The sequence below is a fragment of the Homo sapiens genome, chromosome 4, assembly GCF_000001405.40.
Source record: "Homo sapiens chromosome 4, GRCh38.p14 Primary Assembly".
In the NCBI taxonomy this organism is placed as follows: domain Eukaryota; kingdom Metazoa; phylum Chordata; class Mammalia; order Primates; family Hominidae; genus Homo; species Homo sapiens.
The window spans coordinates 115,397,279-115,414,220 of NC_000004.12; positions in this window are offsets into that span (position 1 = coordinate 115,397,279).

Sequence of the window (16,942 nt, forward strand, 5' to 3'; positions counted from 1 at the left end):
TTGGGCTATGTTTGATGTTTGTTTTAAGTATAGGGTCCAAAAGCTGCAACTTCCCTTTGTGTCCTCTCGACTTTAAGCTTCCCAAAACACCCTCCTTCAGTGACTGTCTCATCTCTTCTGCTGTAATCCACTGTTAGTTTAATGGAACTCAGTAACTTTGGTAATATGGTGTGGGGTAGGGACAGTGTTCTAATATTTGTTATCCGTCTTTTTGATGATTTGTGTATCAGGTTTGTGAGCTTCACTAGTTTGTTTTCTTTTACTTCTCCCAATTGTAGCTTTCTTCCTCCCTCCACCCCTGCCCCACCACCAAACCCTACTCTTTTCCCTGACTGTAGTGTTCTCAATCCATATTTTTAAAAACCTTCTGGAAAAACAGTAAGGCTGGGGACCGCTTGAGTGCAAAGGCATTCCCTTTCCTCATATGAAATAAAGTTTTGAATGGCACTCTGACAAAGTTATTTTCCTTAGAGAGTAGGACTCTGTTACTGAGAATAATTTGGCAGTATATCACATAGTTACTGCTAGAGCCTTGAGGGAATCTTTCTAGTGTCCTCACCATAAAAACCCAAGGCAGGGTAGGGGTGGTTTCCTGGTGCAAAAGCCCATGAAAATGTGGTGTCCTCCAGGGATTTATAACTCACCCTCTACCAATTAATGAAAATAACAATTTAATGCTGCTGTCAGTTTATTGCTCCAGCCACTTCTGCTGCAAGTAAACAGATCTTAGTTGGTACATCTCTCTGGCTGCACCTATCTCTCCAGTTGTTGGAGTGATGGGTTGTTCTGTGACTCAAATTTTCTAATGGTTCCAAGAAAAGTCACTAATTTTGTTTGTGTAATTTTTTGTTGGCATAAAAATGGGAGTGAAGACTTCTCAGTTCCTTTTATGTTGGAGCTGAAATGAGAAGTCCTACTCAGTCTCTTTTAAAGGTAAACTCACTGTAAGTGGTTTAATTTAAAAGTAAAATAAAATGGATATTCATGTGTTGACTCTTTTGTCAGATATCTTAATTGAAAAGTCTGGATTATCTAAAATAATCTAATTAAGATACCTGAGAGTCAACCAAATAGAAATCCCCAAAAGTTTATTAACTTTTACTTAAAAAATAAAAACATTTTTGGAATAAAGAATTTGAAGAATAGTAGAAGTATAAAATACTCTGAAAAATGGCATCAGAATAGATCACAAGGTATTGATGTCAATACCTTACCAATTTTAATTACCCCTGCATTTTATTAGCAAACATTAAAATATTTATTTTCAATAAAGACATATGACTATGAAAGCTATAGTTTAATTTATTTTTGCTCTTTTGATTGATTTTGTTTTGATTGATTTAAATACTGTCCCAGAGAAACTTGCACAACTTTTGAAAAACATGGCCAGAGTTAATAATAATCCGCAGATTTCTCAAACAATTAGTAGCAACAATAGTTTATGATAAACTTTTGTTGTCTAGGAGATACCAAAACTTGAAGATTTTGGCAGATTTAAGTGAATATTAATTCAATCACAGGAGATTTTCAGGGCTTTATTAAATGTTACTAATGTAGATGCTTCTTTCCAAGATAAGCAAAGTAGAATCACACAGTATGTATTTGCAGATATTGAGTAAAAATGATTATCTAGTGAAAGAAAAGTGTGTGATTTTTTTTGCAAACCTCTCTTTTTATATTAAGTTCAAACAATTTCAACTAAATTAGCAATACAGAAAAATACAAAGTCAAGAAATGTTACATGTTACCATTTTGAGTATAAGCAATTTTATAAATAATTTTTAATGAAAGAAATTATAATTTGGTAATTTTGTGTATCATAATAACACACTATTAATTTATATATTGCCAAATTTTACTTCAAATGGGTATTTATTGATCTCAAAAAGGCAAGTTCCCTTTTTCTAAACATAAACATGTATTTCTGTCTAAAATAAATGTTTTTTAATTTGAATATATTGGGAAGTTACTGTTAACATTATGACAGATGTATTTTATTTCATGGTTTTAAATATTTCGATGAGACATATAGATTAAAATTGTAAAGAAACATGAAAAAATAAAAATAGAAAATCAAGGCCAGGAGTGGTGGCTCACACCTGTAATCCCAGCACTTTGGGAGGCTGAGGCAGGGGGATCACGAGGTCAAGAGTTCAAGACCAGCCTGGTCAGCATGGTGAAACTCCATCTCTACTAAAAATACAAAAATGAGCCACATGTGGTGGCACGCGCCTATAGTCCCAGGTACTCGGGAGGCTGAGGCAGGAGAATCACTTGACCATGGGAGGCGGAGGTTGCAGTGAGCCAAGATCATGCCACTGTACTCCAGTCTGGGTGACAGAGCAAGACTCCATCTCCAAAAAAAAAAAAAAAAAAAAAAAAAAGTAAGTCATAATAATATGCTTAAGGGGTTTAATAGACAAGAATTAGTGCTATCTTTTTTTAAAATCAGAAAACATTAATTTTATTTCTTTTTACTTCATTTTTAAAATTATATTTAGTTTTATCTTAGTGCTGCCTAATTACATGCCTAATAAGCATAGCCAGGTGCAGATCGTGCCACTGACTCTAGCCTGGGTGACAGAGCAAGAGTCTGTCTCAAAAAAAAAAAAAGAAAATAATAAGCACACAAAATACTAATATTAAAATGAATACATAAATACTAATGTTATAATCTTATGTTTATAATTTTATCATAAAGTTTGATTATATAAATTACCCAAAAACAGCACTTAAAATACGTATTTTTTAAATATATTTAAGTAATTTAATTATATTATCAGCTTAATGAAATTTACAAATGTCTTAATTAGGCCAACTATTATTCTACTTGTAGAAGAATGTGTGTGACATTACCTGTTACCAAATAGACTGTTAATTTATGTATTCAATTTTTTTTCTTTTTATGTAAGATAATGTCTCAGAATCCTCACAAAAACACCTACTCACATCTATTTTCATGTATAGGAACCCAGGTGCAGATATTTGAAATAATCCTAATTTTATGCCATTCTATATTATGTGCTAAAATTTTTTAAAAAATAAATATATTTTTCCTTTGTTTCTAAGTTTCTACTCCTAACCTATAATTATACTTCTTATATTTTGTTTGATATGCCTTTAAATCTGTACATAAATTGTTAAGCTATATATTTTTGCTTCATGTTTATAGGTTTTAAAGTTATATAAATAAGATATGCTTCAAATTTTACTTCCCTCATAATGTTTTCACTTAACAGTTTTTTAATATGTCCATGTAGCCTGTTTCTTTTAAATGTTGCATAACATCAGTGGTATAAAATCTAAAATAGTTTACATAATCATTCTTTAAAAAGTAGTCAGCTAGGTTGCCCCCTAATCTATATTACCAAAAATAGAGCAATCTTTCTACTACTTACAAATGTAAGTAATTTGCATGAATTTGTCTGGGATGTAAGTTCATGATGAATTTGCTGTGTTGTAAAGTGCAGGAGATTTCTCCAGGTGGCCTTGAACTGAACTAGTTTTCCTCCTTTCTCACTTATAATTCTCAAGAATAACTGTGGAATGTGCTGGGAATGTAATATCCTCCATTAAGCGGAAACTAGCTGGAAGAGTTAAGGCTCTGCTCTAGTCCTCTAGGTCTCCAACCCCACTCCCCAGAAACTGATGTCTTTCATTGCATTAGCCCAGCAATTCCCAACACTGTGTAACTGAACGCAGGTCCGGATGCTCTACACTTACAGAGTCCAGTTACGAGCAAGTTCTGGGAGAAAGAAAGTGACTTTATTACCCAAAACTAGTAATGGGGAAATGTCTGATTCCCATCCAAAGCAACCACTTCAATTTTGGGGAAGAAAGCAGAGATTTAAAAAGAGGAAACTTGATAAGGAATGCATGCAGGAATTGTTCTGAGTACATTGTCTGTGTGTCTTGCACTGTGGCTATCATGGGTAACAGTCCACCTGGATCTCGGACTGCTGTCATCTCAAAAATGTCAGAGTTGTTAACTACTGCCTTGAAGTAAACTCTGAAATTCTGCCACTGGGTCTCCAGGCTTGATTTTTGTGTCTCAATATTAGCCCCTGGAACTTCTAAGAAGGCACATAATTAGAAAATAGCATACAGTTAGATAAATGTGAATAGAGTATATATGTGGTGAGAAAAGGCGGGACATGGAGTCTATTTGAAAGCAGAGAAAAAAGACTTCTTTAGTTTGCTTCAAGGTTATCTCTTGAAACCGAAGGGAAAGGAAAAAAAAAGTTTAAAGTGCATTTTGACGTTGAGTTGCCCGGTTACCCTTGGGGTACATAACTCAGAGATAGCTGCTTTCTGGGTTCTCTCAGCTGCGGTGCAAATGGGGCATGTGCAATTGAGACTGTATCTGTATCTGCCCCAGACAGATTTTCTGAGCCTTGGAGGATCACTGGCCATGAATCCTAGGTTTCTGTTGTTCCTTGCTGCCTATCTGTTAGTAGCAGATGCACTTCATGTAACTTGTGGAGGGCAGGGAATGAGTTGTTAACCCATGCACATAAACAGGCTGCTTCACATAAGACCTGTGAATTTTTAATTTGTCAGTCAGAAATTTTAAATTTATATTTAGGGTGGTTCTACCAGGCTAATGTTTCAGTAGCATTTCACATCTCCAGATATTTTGCCATTTCAATTGGTGTACAGTGGTAATATGCTTTAATTTGTATTTTCCTAATTATTAATGACCTATGAAACCTGTTTTATCTATTAGGTGGAACTTCAGATTTCTCCCTATGAAAATTGATAATTCACATCTTTTGCCTATTTTACAAATTTACTATTTTTTTTCTGGTTAATTAACAGGTGTTTCTTACATATTCTAGAGAAGAATCTCTAACTTATTTTACTTTGACTATGCTTTTGCCATGTTTGTTTATTTCTTTGACTAAATGATTCTTCAATGAAGAGAAATCCATAATTTTGTTGACAAATTAATTTATTTCATGCCTTTTGATGCTTAGACTAAAAATATCTTTTTCCACAAATATATGTATAATATATATTTGGTATATCCAATACCAAAAATTTGTCTTTTATTTATACTGCTATCTTTATTATATAGGAAGCTCTGATAGTAATAAAGGTCTTTCTTATATTGTTATTCTGTTTCACTGGTCTGTTTGCTTCAACACAAATTGATTTAATTAATTTGCAGTTGTTTTTAGTAACTCAGAAACTTTTATTTATATTTACCTTTAAAATTAATTGAAAGAACTTTAATGGATAGAAAAGTGTACGGTCCTAAAGGTAGAGAATAATTACAAAATGAACACAAATGTATAACCACCATTGAGGTGAACGAAATGATACATTGCCCTCTGAAGGACATTAGAGGTCTTCCTTGATTTCCTACACAGTCATTACCTAACTGTGCTCAGTATATATTAATTTGTTTTAAACTTTATGCAAATAAAATTATGCAAAATGAATTTTTAATCTAGCTTTTTACATTCAAAATTACATTTGTGAGATTTATTCATGCTGAATATAGATGGTCTTCATTAAAAAGTCATATTCCACAATAGAAATAAGCTAAAATTTTATATTATAATGTAGCTAGTATTTTCAATTTGGGGCTATTTGAAAAAAGGGCTGCCATGAATATGCTTGTCTTCATCCTTAGACACACATATTAATAAGTGTTTGTTGGAGATACACCTGCAAAGGATAATTGTTGTATCCTAGCATATGCCATAAAATACAAGGAATTCCTCAAAGTGATTTTACCAAACTGCCTCCTTTTGGTCAATGTCTTTGTTAATGCTTGGTGTAATCACATTTTAACTTTAGAAATTATGGTTTTGGATAATGGTATCTTATTTTGGCTTTAATTTTAATTTATCTGATGATAAATGATTTTGAGCATTTTTTCAAATGTTTATTGCCCATTAGAATATACAAATTGACTTTTTAATTTTTACTGTATCACTTTCATTTTTGTATTGTTTTATGGGGAGAATATATATTTGGGGTGATGTAGATATATAATACATAAAATATTGAAACTAATATATAAATTATATATAGTTCAGTTTCATATATTGAAAATGTTTCCTCCATGTCATAGTTTACATTTTTACTCTATTAATGGTATTCTTTAGTAGAACACAGTATTTTTTCTTTATAATTTGTGTTTTTGTGTTATGATTAAGGAATCTGTTTAATTCAAAGTCTGCAGTGTTATCTTTCAGAAGCTTTTTCCTTATACCTTACATTTATATCTGAATCTGGTAAGGATTGATTTTTGTGTATGTTGGAAGACAGGGGTCCAGTTTTTCTGTTTTGTTCTCATAAGACTACCTAATTGATCCAGGTCTTCCTTTCCATTTCTCTGGAGAGCTATCTTGGCCAGGTGATATAAATCAAGTGACTATAAAAGTGTGGGTCATTTTCTGGACTCTTTGTTAATGCCTCCAGCAGGCAAATAGGCCCCATTAGGCTCACTTTTCTGGGATTTCATTCTTCCTTTCTTGAAAGTTATCGATACCTTGATAATTCTCTAAGACCTTCAGCAAGGTTTTATGTTTTCTATTATTTTTTCCATCTAGGTATTTTCAGTGACCATGTAGTTCTGAAATAAACTTCTCTGCCACACAAAGAAGAAGAACTGAACATTTAGTTTTGCTTTTAATGAAAAATAATTGATTTATACTGTTTGACACTGTTTCTAAGTATATTAAATTGATCATGTATTTTTTCCTTTAGTCCATTTTATAGACTAAATGGATAAAACTAATCATCCCTATTTGCACAAGACTGTCCCCATTTTAACACTGTAAATCCAGCATCTTAGGAAACTCCTTGGGCCCAAGCAACCTGATATACTGGTTTACCATATTAATATCGGCCCATATATTGGTAGATATTCTAATTTTATGTTTTTCATTTATAGTTGGGATAAACTCTACAGTATACTCAAACTTTAACCTTAATTGTATTCTAGTACTAAGTAATTTTTTAAAAAAGGGTTTTATATTAGCTTAGATTAGGTTTGGCTACACTTAACAGATGAACCTAAATAATGGTGGATAAATAAAATACTTGTTTTTATTCTGTTTCTCATGTTTTGAAATTCTAGAACTGGTAGGCTCCAAGTTGGTATGGTCTATTCTCCATGAAGTCAAATTCCCAATTCCCTCTTACATTATTTCTTCCTCATAAATGGCCTTCATTCCAAACCACTACTCATGGTCCAGCATGCCTACTAGAGTTATGACCATTAAGCCATTAAGCAGAAAGTGTGAGAAGGCCTCCAACTTTCCATTTGTAAGAACATTTCCTATGAGCTGTGCAAACCACTTCTATCTTTTTAGCCAGAATATAATCATATGGTCATATCTATATGAAACAGATATTTAATATTCTCATGGACTCTTTTGTTCATTATGTGTGTACTATTGAGGAAGATAAGAATGGCTATTTAGTAAAAATTAAGTATTTGCAACAGATATTTTAGAATAAAAAGAGTTTATATTCTTATGTTCTTTTATTTTGATATCTGATTTGGGGAATCTAGAATACATAAGCATCACAGAATGATGGAAACAACTCTTTCTTCTTTTTTTCTTTTCTGGAAAAACTGGTCTCTTAAAGTTTGTTAGAAGTTATTATAGTGTTTGGCCAGACTTGGTGTCTTACATCTGTAATCCTAGCACTGTGGGAAGCCACGGCAGGAGGATCACTGTTGATGATATATTACTAAGTGTAGTCTAAGGTCATATATGTTCTTCGAACAAGAATGTCATATTTTATCTTCTCTCCATTAACTCATTTTTGACTATGTGACTAGAAAGCCTCTTTTAAAGCATTGAATTCTGTTCCAAATCTAGACTGCTTTAGTATTTTGCATTTTTTAAAGGAGTGGAGAAAGCTAAAGGCAAGAGTGCAAGCAAGGCCTTACTTATGATAAATGTGTGTGTATTTTTCAAAAATATATTCAATTCAATACTCTAAATTATCACATGTTCAGTTTTTTGGAGTTCATTTGAATAAACTTTATGAGATCCAAAAACTGAAAGATAGATATTGAAGAGGAGACATCAATCAAAATTTAGTGTATTATGTGTATGCTTCTGGGATGGAGAGCGGACATGATTTAGAAGCATTTGGTGACATTTTAATGCTATTGGTAATGTTCTTATTCTTAAAGTGTGTAACTCTATTAAGTGTTAATCCTTTTTTCAAAACCAGCATAAATATTATACATATTATTTAATGTGTATCTAACTACACTTATAAAAGTATAATTTTTCAAGAAAAGCTAAAATCATAACTAATGCTAATATAAATTAAAAATACATCAAATATTTTAATTTAATTAAATAGGAGAGATTAATAAAGGAGAGATTCAGCAAAACATTTAGATCAATGCAAATAGCAGTTGAGAACCTGTGTAATTAAAGGCAAGTTGATAAAGAAATGTCATTACAAGATTATGGGGTCAGATACATCTCTAATTAATATCCTATAAAGAAAATGAAGTGTGTCTTTAGCCCACATGATGTTGTCAAGATGTGCAACTCAGATGTTTGCCTTGTTGTCAAGTTTTTGGGGTATTTTTTTAAATAAGTTTAAAAACTTAGAAAGAAAGTAAAATTAATAAATTAAAAAGAAAATGTATATTTGTACAAAAAATATTTGCTTCACTTAAAATTATTATTTAAATAATGTTAATAACCCACATCTCATTAGATATTAAGTAAGACATTTTCTTATATTTTCTTTTTTTTTTTTTTTTGAGATGGAGTTTCACTCTGTCACCCAGGATGGAGTGCAGTGGTGCGATCTCGGCTCACTGCAAGCTGTGTCTCCCGGGTTCATGCCATTCTCCTGCCACAGCCTCCCGAGTAGCTGGGACTACAGGTTCCCGCCACCACGCCCAGCTAATTTTTTGTATTTTTTAGTAGAGACGGGGTTTCACCGTGTTAGCCAGGATGGTCTCGATCTCCTGACCTTGTGATCCGTCCGCCTGGGCCTCCCAAAGTGCTGGAATTACAGGCGTGAGCCACCGTGCCCAGCCTATATTTTCTTAAATTGTCTCTTTTATCAATGTTTAAAATAGAAATGAAGATAAGAATATTAAATAAAAATCAATTAATAGTATCTTAAGAATGTTTCTTTTTCTGCATGACTCATCTATTCAACAGCTGTTTGTTGTGTTCTATAGTGTATCTTGTACATGTTGAGTGCTGCTCTGAGAATCTGGAAATACGAAGGAAACAAGATATAATAATTATTGCCTCTTGTTGCATTTACATTTTAGTGGCAGGCAGTAGATAACACTTAAATAAAACCAATAACAGAACTTCAGATAGTGATACATGCAATGTAAAAATATATATAAAAAATAATAAAGTTTGGATAATAGGAGAGAAATATGGGGAATAGATAAAATAGACTGTCGGTTTAGGTCAGTGAAGCCTTCTTAATGAGAAAAGCTAGTTGTGCTAAAATCACATGTGCTTCTGAATGGAATAAGTGATAAAAATCGCATCTTGCAATTTAAAAAATAGGTAACTAATATACATCTCTCAGATAAATTGAACTTATCTAATATACTGTGCCGTCAAATTTCCAAATAGAAAAGGCTTATGTTTCTATCCTGATACTGTTTCAAAGCCATTTTTCAAAATATAAAACAAAATATGAATTATCTTTGGAGTTGTGGGAATGCCATGGATTATAGTATTAGATTAAGTTTAACAAGATTGTTTAATCATATTGCAAAAACCACAATTGCTGCTCAATCTTAAGATGTGGTGGAAGTGTTTATATTATCTTCATCTCTATTGCTATAATTACCATTAATCTTTAGGGTTTGAAATGAATAGCTTCTTTTTTATTATAAAAGTGATACATGTACATGGGAATAAAATTTTAAACCATATAGATGGGCATATTATTGAAAGTAAAATTTCCTTCCCTGCCATTCCTCAAATTCTTGCTCATATTTGTCATTTTCTGTTTTTGGTTCATCTGACATGTTATGTTCAGTAGACTTGATTAAGTTTTCCCAGTTTCAGATATCATTCCATATTATATATACATTATTTTGTATAAATGAAATACTATGATTGAATCATAGAGAAAGAAATATGTGTATGTTATTGAGCTTATGCTACTTTGTTCAAATTTCAAGATCAGATGGAATATGTCTTCTTCTTCAACTGACTAGAATGTTTTATCTTGTTTTTGAATTTTCAGTTTCTTGTTCATCTTCTTCCCCCAGTCCCTCTTACACTTGAATTTTCTACTGATTTTCTATTATTTTGTTATTAAACAAGAAATTTTACTTAATAAACCACTAACATGTTCATTTAATCAAACAACTAACTAATATGCTTCCTTCTTTTTAGGAGCATTATATGGCTGTTGTCCGGGAATCTTATTAAGTTGCATATTTGGCTACTCTTTAATTCTAATGTCTTACACTTTCTTGACTCTTTTTTTTTTTTTCAAGTCATATTGCAGCACTCCAGAAACATACTGGATGCTTGCATGTTATCAATTCTTTTCATTTTATCCTTATACTAATTGATAATACATGGCATTTTATGTGGAAAATAATTTTTCCTGAGAACTGTACAGACATTGTTTTTTCTAAATTCACTAACAATCACCTCTTCCCCCAGCGTTTTTCTCCCTTAGTTTGGGTTTTCCCAAAGGAGCCTTTTAAGCAAGATTTTGATTTCAGATAGTTGATTTTGGAGATGAACCTAAAAATATTTGCAGTGTAGACAGGAAATCTCACAGAAAAGGGAAGGCAACCAATACAAGGTTTGTTATCAAGTGAATTATCACAGTGGGTATCTGAAACCTCATCCCGCAGAGGATCCTTGAGAATCAGTGTAACTGTTGTGCCTCAATGTAATTCCCCCTGAGGAGTGAGGAATTAGGGGTATTTACTCTCCAGTTTTTATCATGCATTGAGCGGGGCATTGGATTCCCTGGCATGGGTTCTGATGAGCTGAGAATCTTAGACAAAGAAACTCAGGTGCTGGCAGTTGGACTTTGGGTGAAGAGTTGGAGCTCTGACTGCATATGCTATGTTGTTTATTTCTACACAGTCTGTCATCTTGTATCTGTTTTCCTACTCTAGAAGAATTTATGAAATTATCTTTATTCCTTGAATTTCAAAATTTCAGAAGAATGAATCTATGTATATGAGGATCATTTAGTCTGTCTAACATTTGGTAGTCTAAAGTCTTTCTTTAGCTCTGTGAAAAGTTATTGTTATTATTTTGATTATTTCCTTCATTCCACTCTCATTCTTTTTTTTCTTTCAGAAACCACTATTAGACAGATGTTGGTAGATTTCCTAGGCTTTATTTTCTCACACACATATTGATTTTTCCCTAAACAATTGTGTTTTTATGTTCCGTGACCTCTATCTTGTTTACTGCTTTTTTTCACAGCAAGCTGTTAGGTTTTATATATTCTTTTTTATCTTTTTATAGAAGAAATATATTCTGAGGACCTTTTAGGAGCATTCTCTGATTGTCTTGCTCCCATCTATGGCCTTATTCTTAAATTAGTCAAAGTGTTATTGAAAAGAGGCTTTATTATTGTGACAACTCCTTCCAGAGAAAACTCTTTCTGATGCAGGATGCAGAGAGTGGTTTTTCAACTCTCAGCAGCCACTCTTATTTTTTGGTATAGATTTCAAGTACATGTCAGGTATATTTCATTACAGATTTCTCTTAGTTTTGATGTTAAATATTCCTCCCTCCTTTTATTTTATTTAAAATTTTAATTGATTTAGATAGAAGGATATGAAGTAGTTCACTAATTTTATCTCAGGTTAACTCATCTTAAAGTTAATTCATATAAATAGAACCTAAAAGATATACCTTTTTTTGTAAGTAGCTTTCTAAATAGCTTTCTTTCTTTTTTTTTTTTTTTGTATATAGGTTTCTTTTTTTTGTAAGTAATTTCTTAGCAGTTATGAATATTTGTACTTAGTTTCAAAATGAAGTGTTTTTCATCTTTTATTTATTTTGTTTTGAGACAGCGTCTCCCTCCATCTGAACTCCAGGCTGGAGTTCAGTCATGTGATCATAGCTCACTGCAGCCTTGACCTCCTTGGCTTAAGCGATCTTCCCACCTCAGCCTCTTAAGTTGCTGAGACTACAGGTGTACACCACCATGGCAGGCTAATTTATTAATGTTTTGTAGATACGGATCTTGCTATGGTGCCAGGACTAGTCTCAAACTCCTGGGCTCAAGTAATCCTCCTGCCTCAATCTCCGAAAGTGCTGGGATTACAGACGTGAGTCACTGTGCCTGGCAAAATGATATTTTTCTAATTATACAAGTGCTATAAGTTCATCACAGAACTATTTTAAGTACATGAATATATATAAAAAGTAATGCCAGAATATCTATTACAACAGCTCAGATGTTACTTAATCTTAGGTAGTTTTCTCCATATATATTTTCACTAGTGCAGTCCTTTAAAAAATATTTTAGTGTGCATATTTTCATTATTATAATTTATGGTACAGAGATTAACACATACGTTTTCTAATAAAATCTATGTTTTTAGTACTGTTAGGGTTCTCCAGAGGAACAAAACTAATAGATGATACATGTGTATATCCTATTTGTTTATGGAATTTTTATTGCTCCTATAACTAATTATTTAGCAAATATGTATGTATATATACACACAAATACATATATTTCAGGTTACAAATTATAGAAAAGGGCATGTGTATACATACATATATAATTTATACATACATATGTATGTGTATATGTACCCTTTTCCATAATTTTTAACCTGAAATATTGTGTCTGTTGTAGACCTAATTCTAAAAATGAGACAAAGAAGTCAAGACCATGGCTTATACCCATTAAACCATTCCAAGAAATATTACAAACGGACCAAGTAACAGAGCAACTGGTTGTAATGAATTCAGGATTTGAGCCAAATGTCCAGCTCATTTAGTCTGACTTTAAATATATATATTAAAAACCAGCTGGGCATGGTGTCTGTAATCTCAGCACTTTTTGGGAAGCCAAGGCAGCAGTATTACTTGAGTCCAGAAGTTTAAGACCAGCCTGGGCAACACAGCAATACCTATCTCTACAAAAAAATAAAAAATTCGCTGGGCATGGTGGTGTATGCCTGTGGTCCCAGCTACTCAGGAGGCTGAGGTGGGAGGAACGTTTGAGCCCAGAAAGCTGATGTCGCAGTGAGCCATGACTGTACCACTGCAGTTCAGCCTAGGCAACAGCAGGACCCTTTCTCAAAATAAATAAATAAATACATATATATATATAGAGAGAGAGAGAGAGAGAAAGAGAGAGAGAGAGAGAGAGACAGACAGAGACAGAGAGAGAGAGACAGAGAGAGAGAGAAAGAGGGGTAGAATTAGGTCTACAACAGACACAATATTTAACCTTAAAAATTATGGAAAAGAGCACATATGTACATACATATGTAATATGGCTTACAGCATATATATATACATACATATAAGCATACATATATATAAGTCATATTATATGTATGTGTCTATGTGCCCTTTTCCATAATTTTTAACCTGAAGTATATAGAGGAACAAAGCTAATAGGTAGTTGTATGTATATATCCTATTTGTTTATGGATTTTTCATTATATAATATAGTTATATATATAATTGCCTATTTGAAACATTCAGAAAAAATAAATTGCATTAAATATAGTTTTGACAGGCCTCACTTGTATTTTTTAAAAAGGAATTACAAAGTAGATTGAGCCAGAATAAGATAAAGATTACTGTAAATTCTGTACTTATTTGTTTTATTTGTAATAAGGGAGTAACAATTAGCTTAATTTAAATTTTAATATTTTTCATCTGCAAATCATTTCCTAATACCTTAACATGCTTTCTAGTTTCTAGTTTATTTTATTTTAAATTAAAAATCTCATCTGCTATTTGACACTAATATCATTATCCTGATTTTTAAAAACAATTTTTTAAATAATAATATTTATGATGGCAATGATGGAGACTAAAAACATGAAATAAGAAAAAGATTTGGAGTCTGTGTACTTATGTTGAATAGAAGTGAAATAACCAATGTTAAGCAGTGTGAAGAAGGTAAATGGCATTCCCTCTAAAAGACATTGCTTATTAGGGAAGAAGCGCTATTTGTTTTTAAAAGCAATCTAAGTGTAGAGAGAAGAAAATGTGATTATTCATAAACACGTCCAATTTGAGATTTTTTTCTTCTGTGCTTTCTGGTGGTGACATCCATGCGATTCTAGTTTAAATGAGATGTTTGCATTGAATTTGTAGACATTGTGTGTCTCTTCTATATTAACAGTCTGTTCAATTAGGAAAATTACAGAAGAATCTACAATTAAAACAATAACAACAAAAAGTGGTCCACACATGGAAACTTATTGAAAGATACAAAAGAGTTCATAATGTTAGAATGAATTGGGAAATAGAAATAATATTTTTCAAACAAATATGTAAAGGAGGCTGATAAGAAGTCTTCTGAGATATAAAAGAATCAAGAGATTGCTTTGATATGGACACCAAAGGGGAAAAAAAATTAAAAAGACATGCTAAAGTGTAAAATATGATTAAAAGGAGAAAAGAGGGAATTTGATCCTAATAAATAATGTTTTCATGTTGTTTGTTTTTTACGCAAGCTCTTACTCTGTCATCCAGGCTGGAGGGCAGTGGTGTAATCACAGCTTGCTACAGCCTGGACCTGCTGGGCTCAGGTGATTCTTCTACCTCAGCATGGGCCACCATGCATGCCCAGCTATTTTGTGTGTGTGTGTGTGTGTGTGTGTGTGTGTGTGTGTGTGTGTGTGTGGAGACAGGGTTTTTCCATGTTGCCCAGACTGGTCTCAAACTCCTGGGGTCAAGACATTCACATGCCTCAGCCTCCTAAAGTGCTAGAATTATAGGCATAAGCCACCGCACCCGGGCTAAATAGTGTTTTTACAAAAGGTGTACTATTATTGACTTAATTAAATTTTAATCAAGTAATAAAAGATACATTACATAGGACCAAAATAAAATTATAAGAAGATAATACAAGAAGCAAGAGACCCAATTCTCACTGGAAAGTATAGAAAGACTATAACAAGTAATAAGTATATAGAAAGTAAGTAAAAACAAACAAACAAACAAAAAACTGATGGGCTGGGTGCTGTTGCTCATGGCTGTAATCCCAGGACTTTGGGAGGGTGAGGAGGGTAGATGTCTGGAACCCAGAAGTTCAAGAGCAGCCTGGGCAACATGGAGAAACCCCATCTCTAAAAAAAAATAATAAGCCAGGAGTGGTGGCACATGCCTGTGGTCCCATCTACTCAGGAGGCTAAGATGGGAAGATCACTTGAGCCTGGGGAGGTTGAGGCTGCAATTAGCCATGATTGTGCCACTGCACTCCAGCCTGGGTGACAGAGTGAAACCTTGTCTCAAAGCAACAACAACAACAAAAGGAGTGGTAATTCCAGTCTTAATTCAAATCTGAAAAGAGTATTACATTAGTCAGAAAAAAGTAAATGACAAAATAATAATCCTTGACATTCAATTCATATGCAAAATATTTCACAGAATATTTTTACAAATTATTTCCACAGAAACTGTCACTTACATTACACCATATAATTTTCCACATCATACATCATATAGGTGGGCTTTGACTTGTCAATTGGATGCACATATGCAATGAATAGAGTTAACAAAAGACCATTGGTTTCTCCAGAGGAAAAAGGAAAACTTAATTTTCTAAAAGCAGTCTGCAGACTAGGGGCACACTAACTCATCAACTTCAGAGCAAAAGAAAAGTACACTCTGTTGGGGGGTGTTGGAGAGTTAGAGATTATAATGTTAAAAATCTCAGGTCAGGAGAGGAGTGAAGAGAGTGAAGTATAGAGTCTTGACTGAATGACCTTTAAACCCCAAATCATCATTCTCTCTTAATTGGCTAATTCCAGGTGGTTGGTGGGATGGCACCAGCTTGTCTGTTGGTGGCCAGTTGGGGAATTTCTAGCTAGAGATGTTTTTGATATTGTTTTCAGGAATTGCTCTTTGATTTGGTTGCAGATAAGCAGGTTTTGCAATACTCTCCAAGGACACACGGAGCATGACTGCTTGCTCACCCTACCATGGCCTCTTGGTTCTACTTTTCACTATTGAGACAGGGAGTTCATCTTTTCATCTTGTCTGTCAATTGAAGGCATGATTTGACATTAATAAGGCCTTATGAATGCATCCCTAGTGTCATTTCAAAAGGATTTTGGAGTGAGTAATGATAAATGGAGTTACACCATGGAAAAATGTGTGATCTTAAGTAGGTTTAACAGGATCACAAGAGCTCACCTGTAGAGTCAGCACAGTTTATATATGTTGGGAATTGATTCTCTGTCAATTTTTCTTAAATTTGAACTAAAGTTGTGACTGCTGGGTATAACATCATCATTAGTAGTGCTTCAACTTAGTAGCATTTTAGCTTCCTCAGAATTCGAGGTTGGAAGAGTTGATTTTATGAACTGTCATGAGATGGTAAACTAGACTTCTTCAAACTTAAATTTTTTTCTGACATTATTTCAATCATTTCATGTGCCGTAACAGTTAAAAATGGTCAAAGTATACATGCTTAGATAATCAGCTATTACCCTGCCTGTTTGACTAATTCGCCAGTGATTATTTCCATCAGATAAAGGTTCTCTGGCATGCCATTAAAATGCATAAAGACAATAGAAGGAATTCTCAATTATTCTGTAACACTCAATACAGATCCTTGCTTGCCATAGATTATTTGTAAGAAAATCACAAAGCTGTACTCTTTCTGGTACATAGGTGGTAGTATGCTATTCTACCTCCTCATTATGACTGGTTGTTACATTTAAGCAATTTGCTTTCAATGGAGCCACCACCGCATTTCTTCGAAGGACGTGTGTTTTATCAACTTAAAG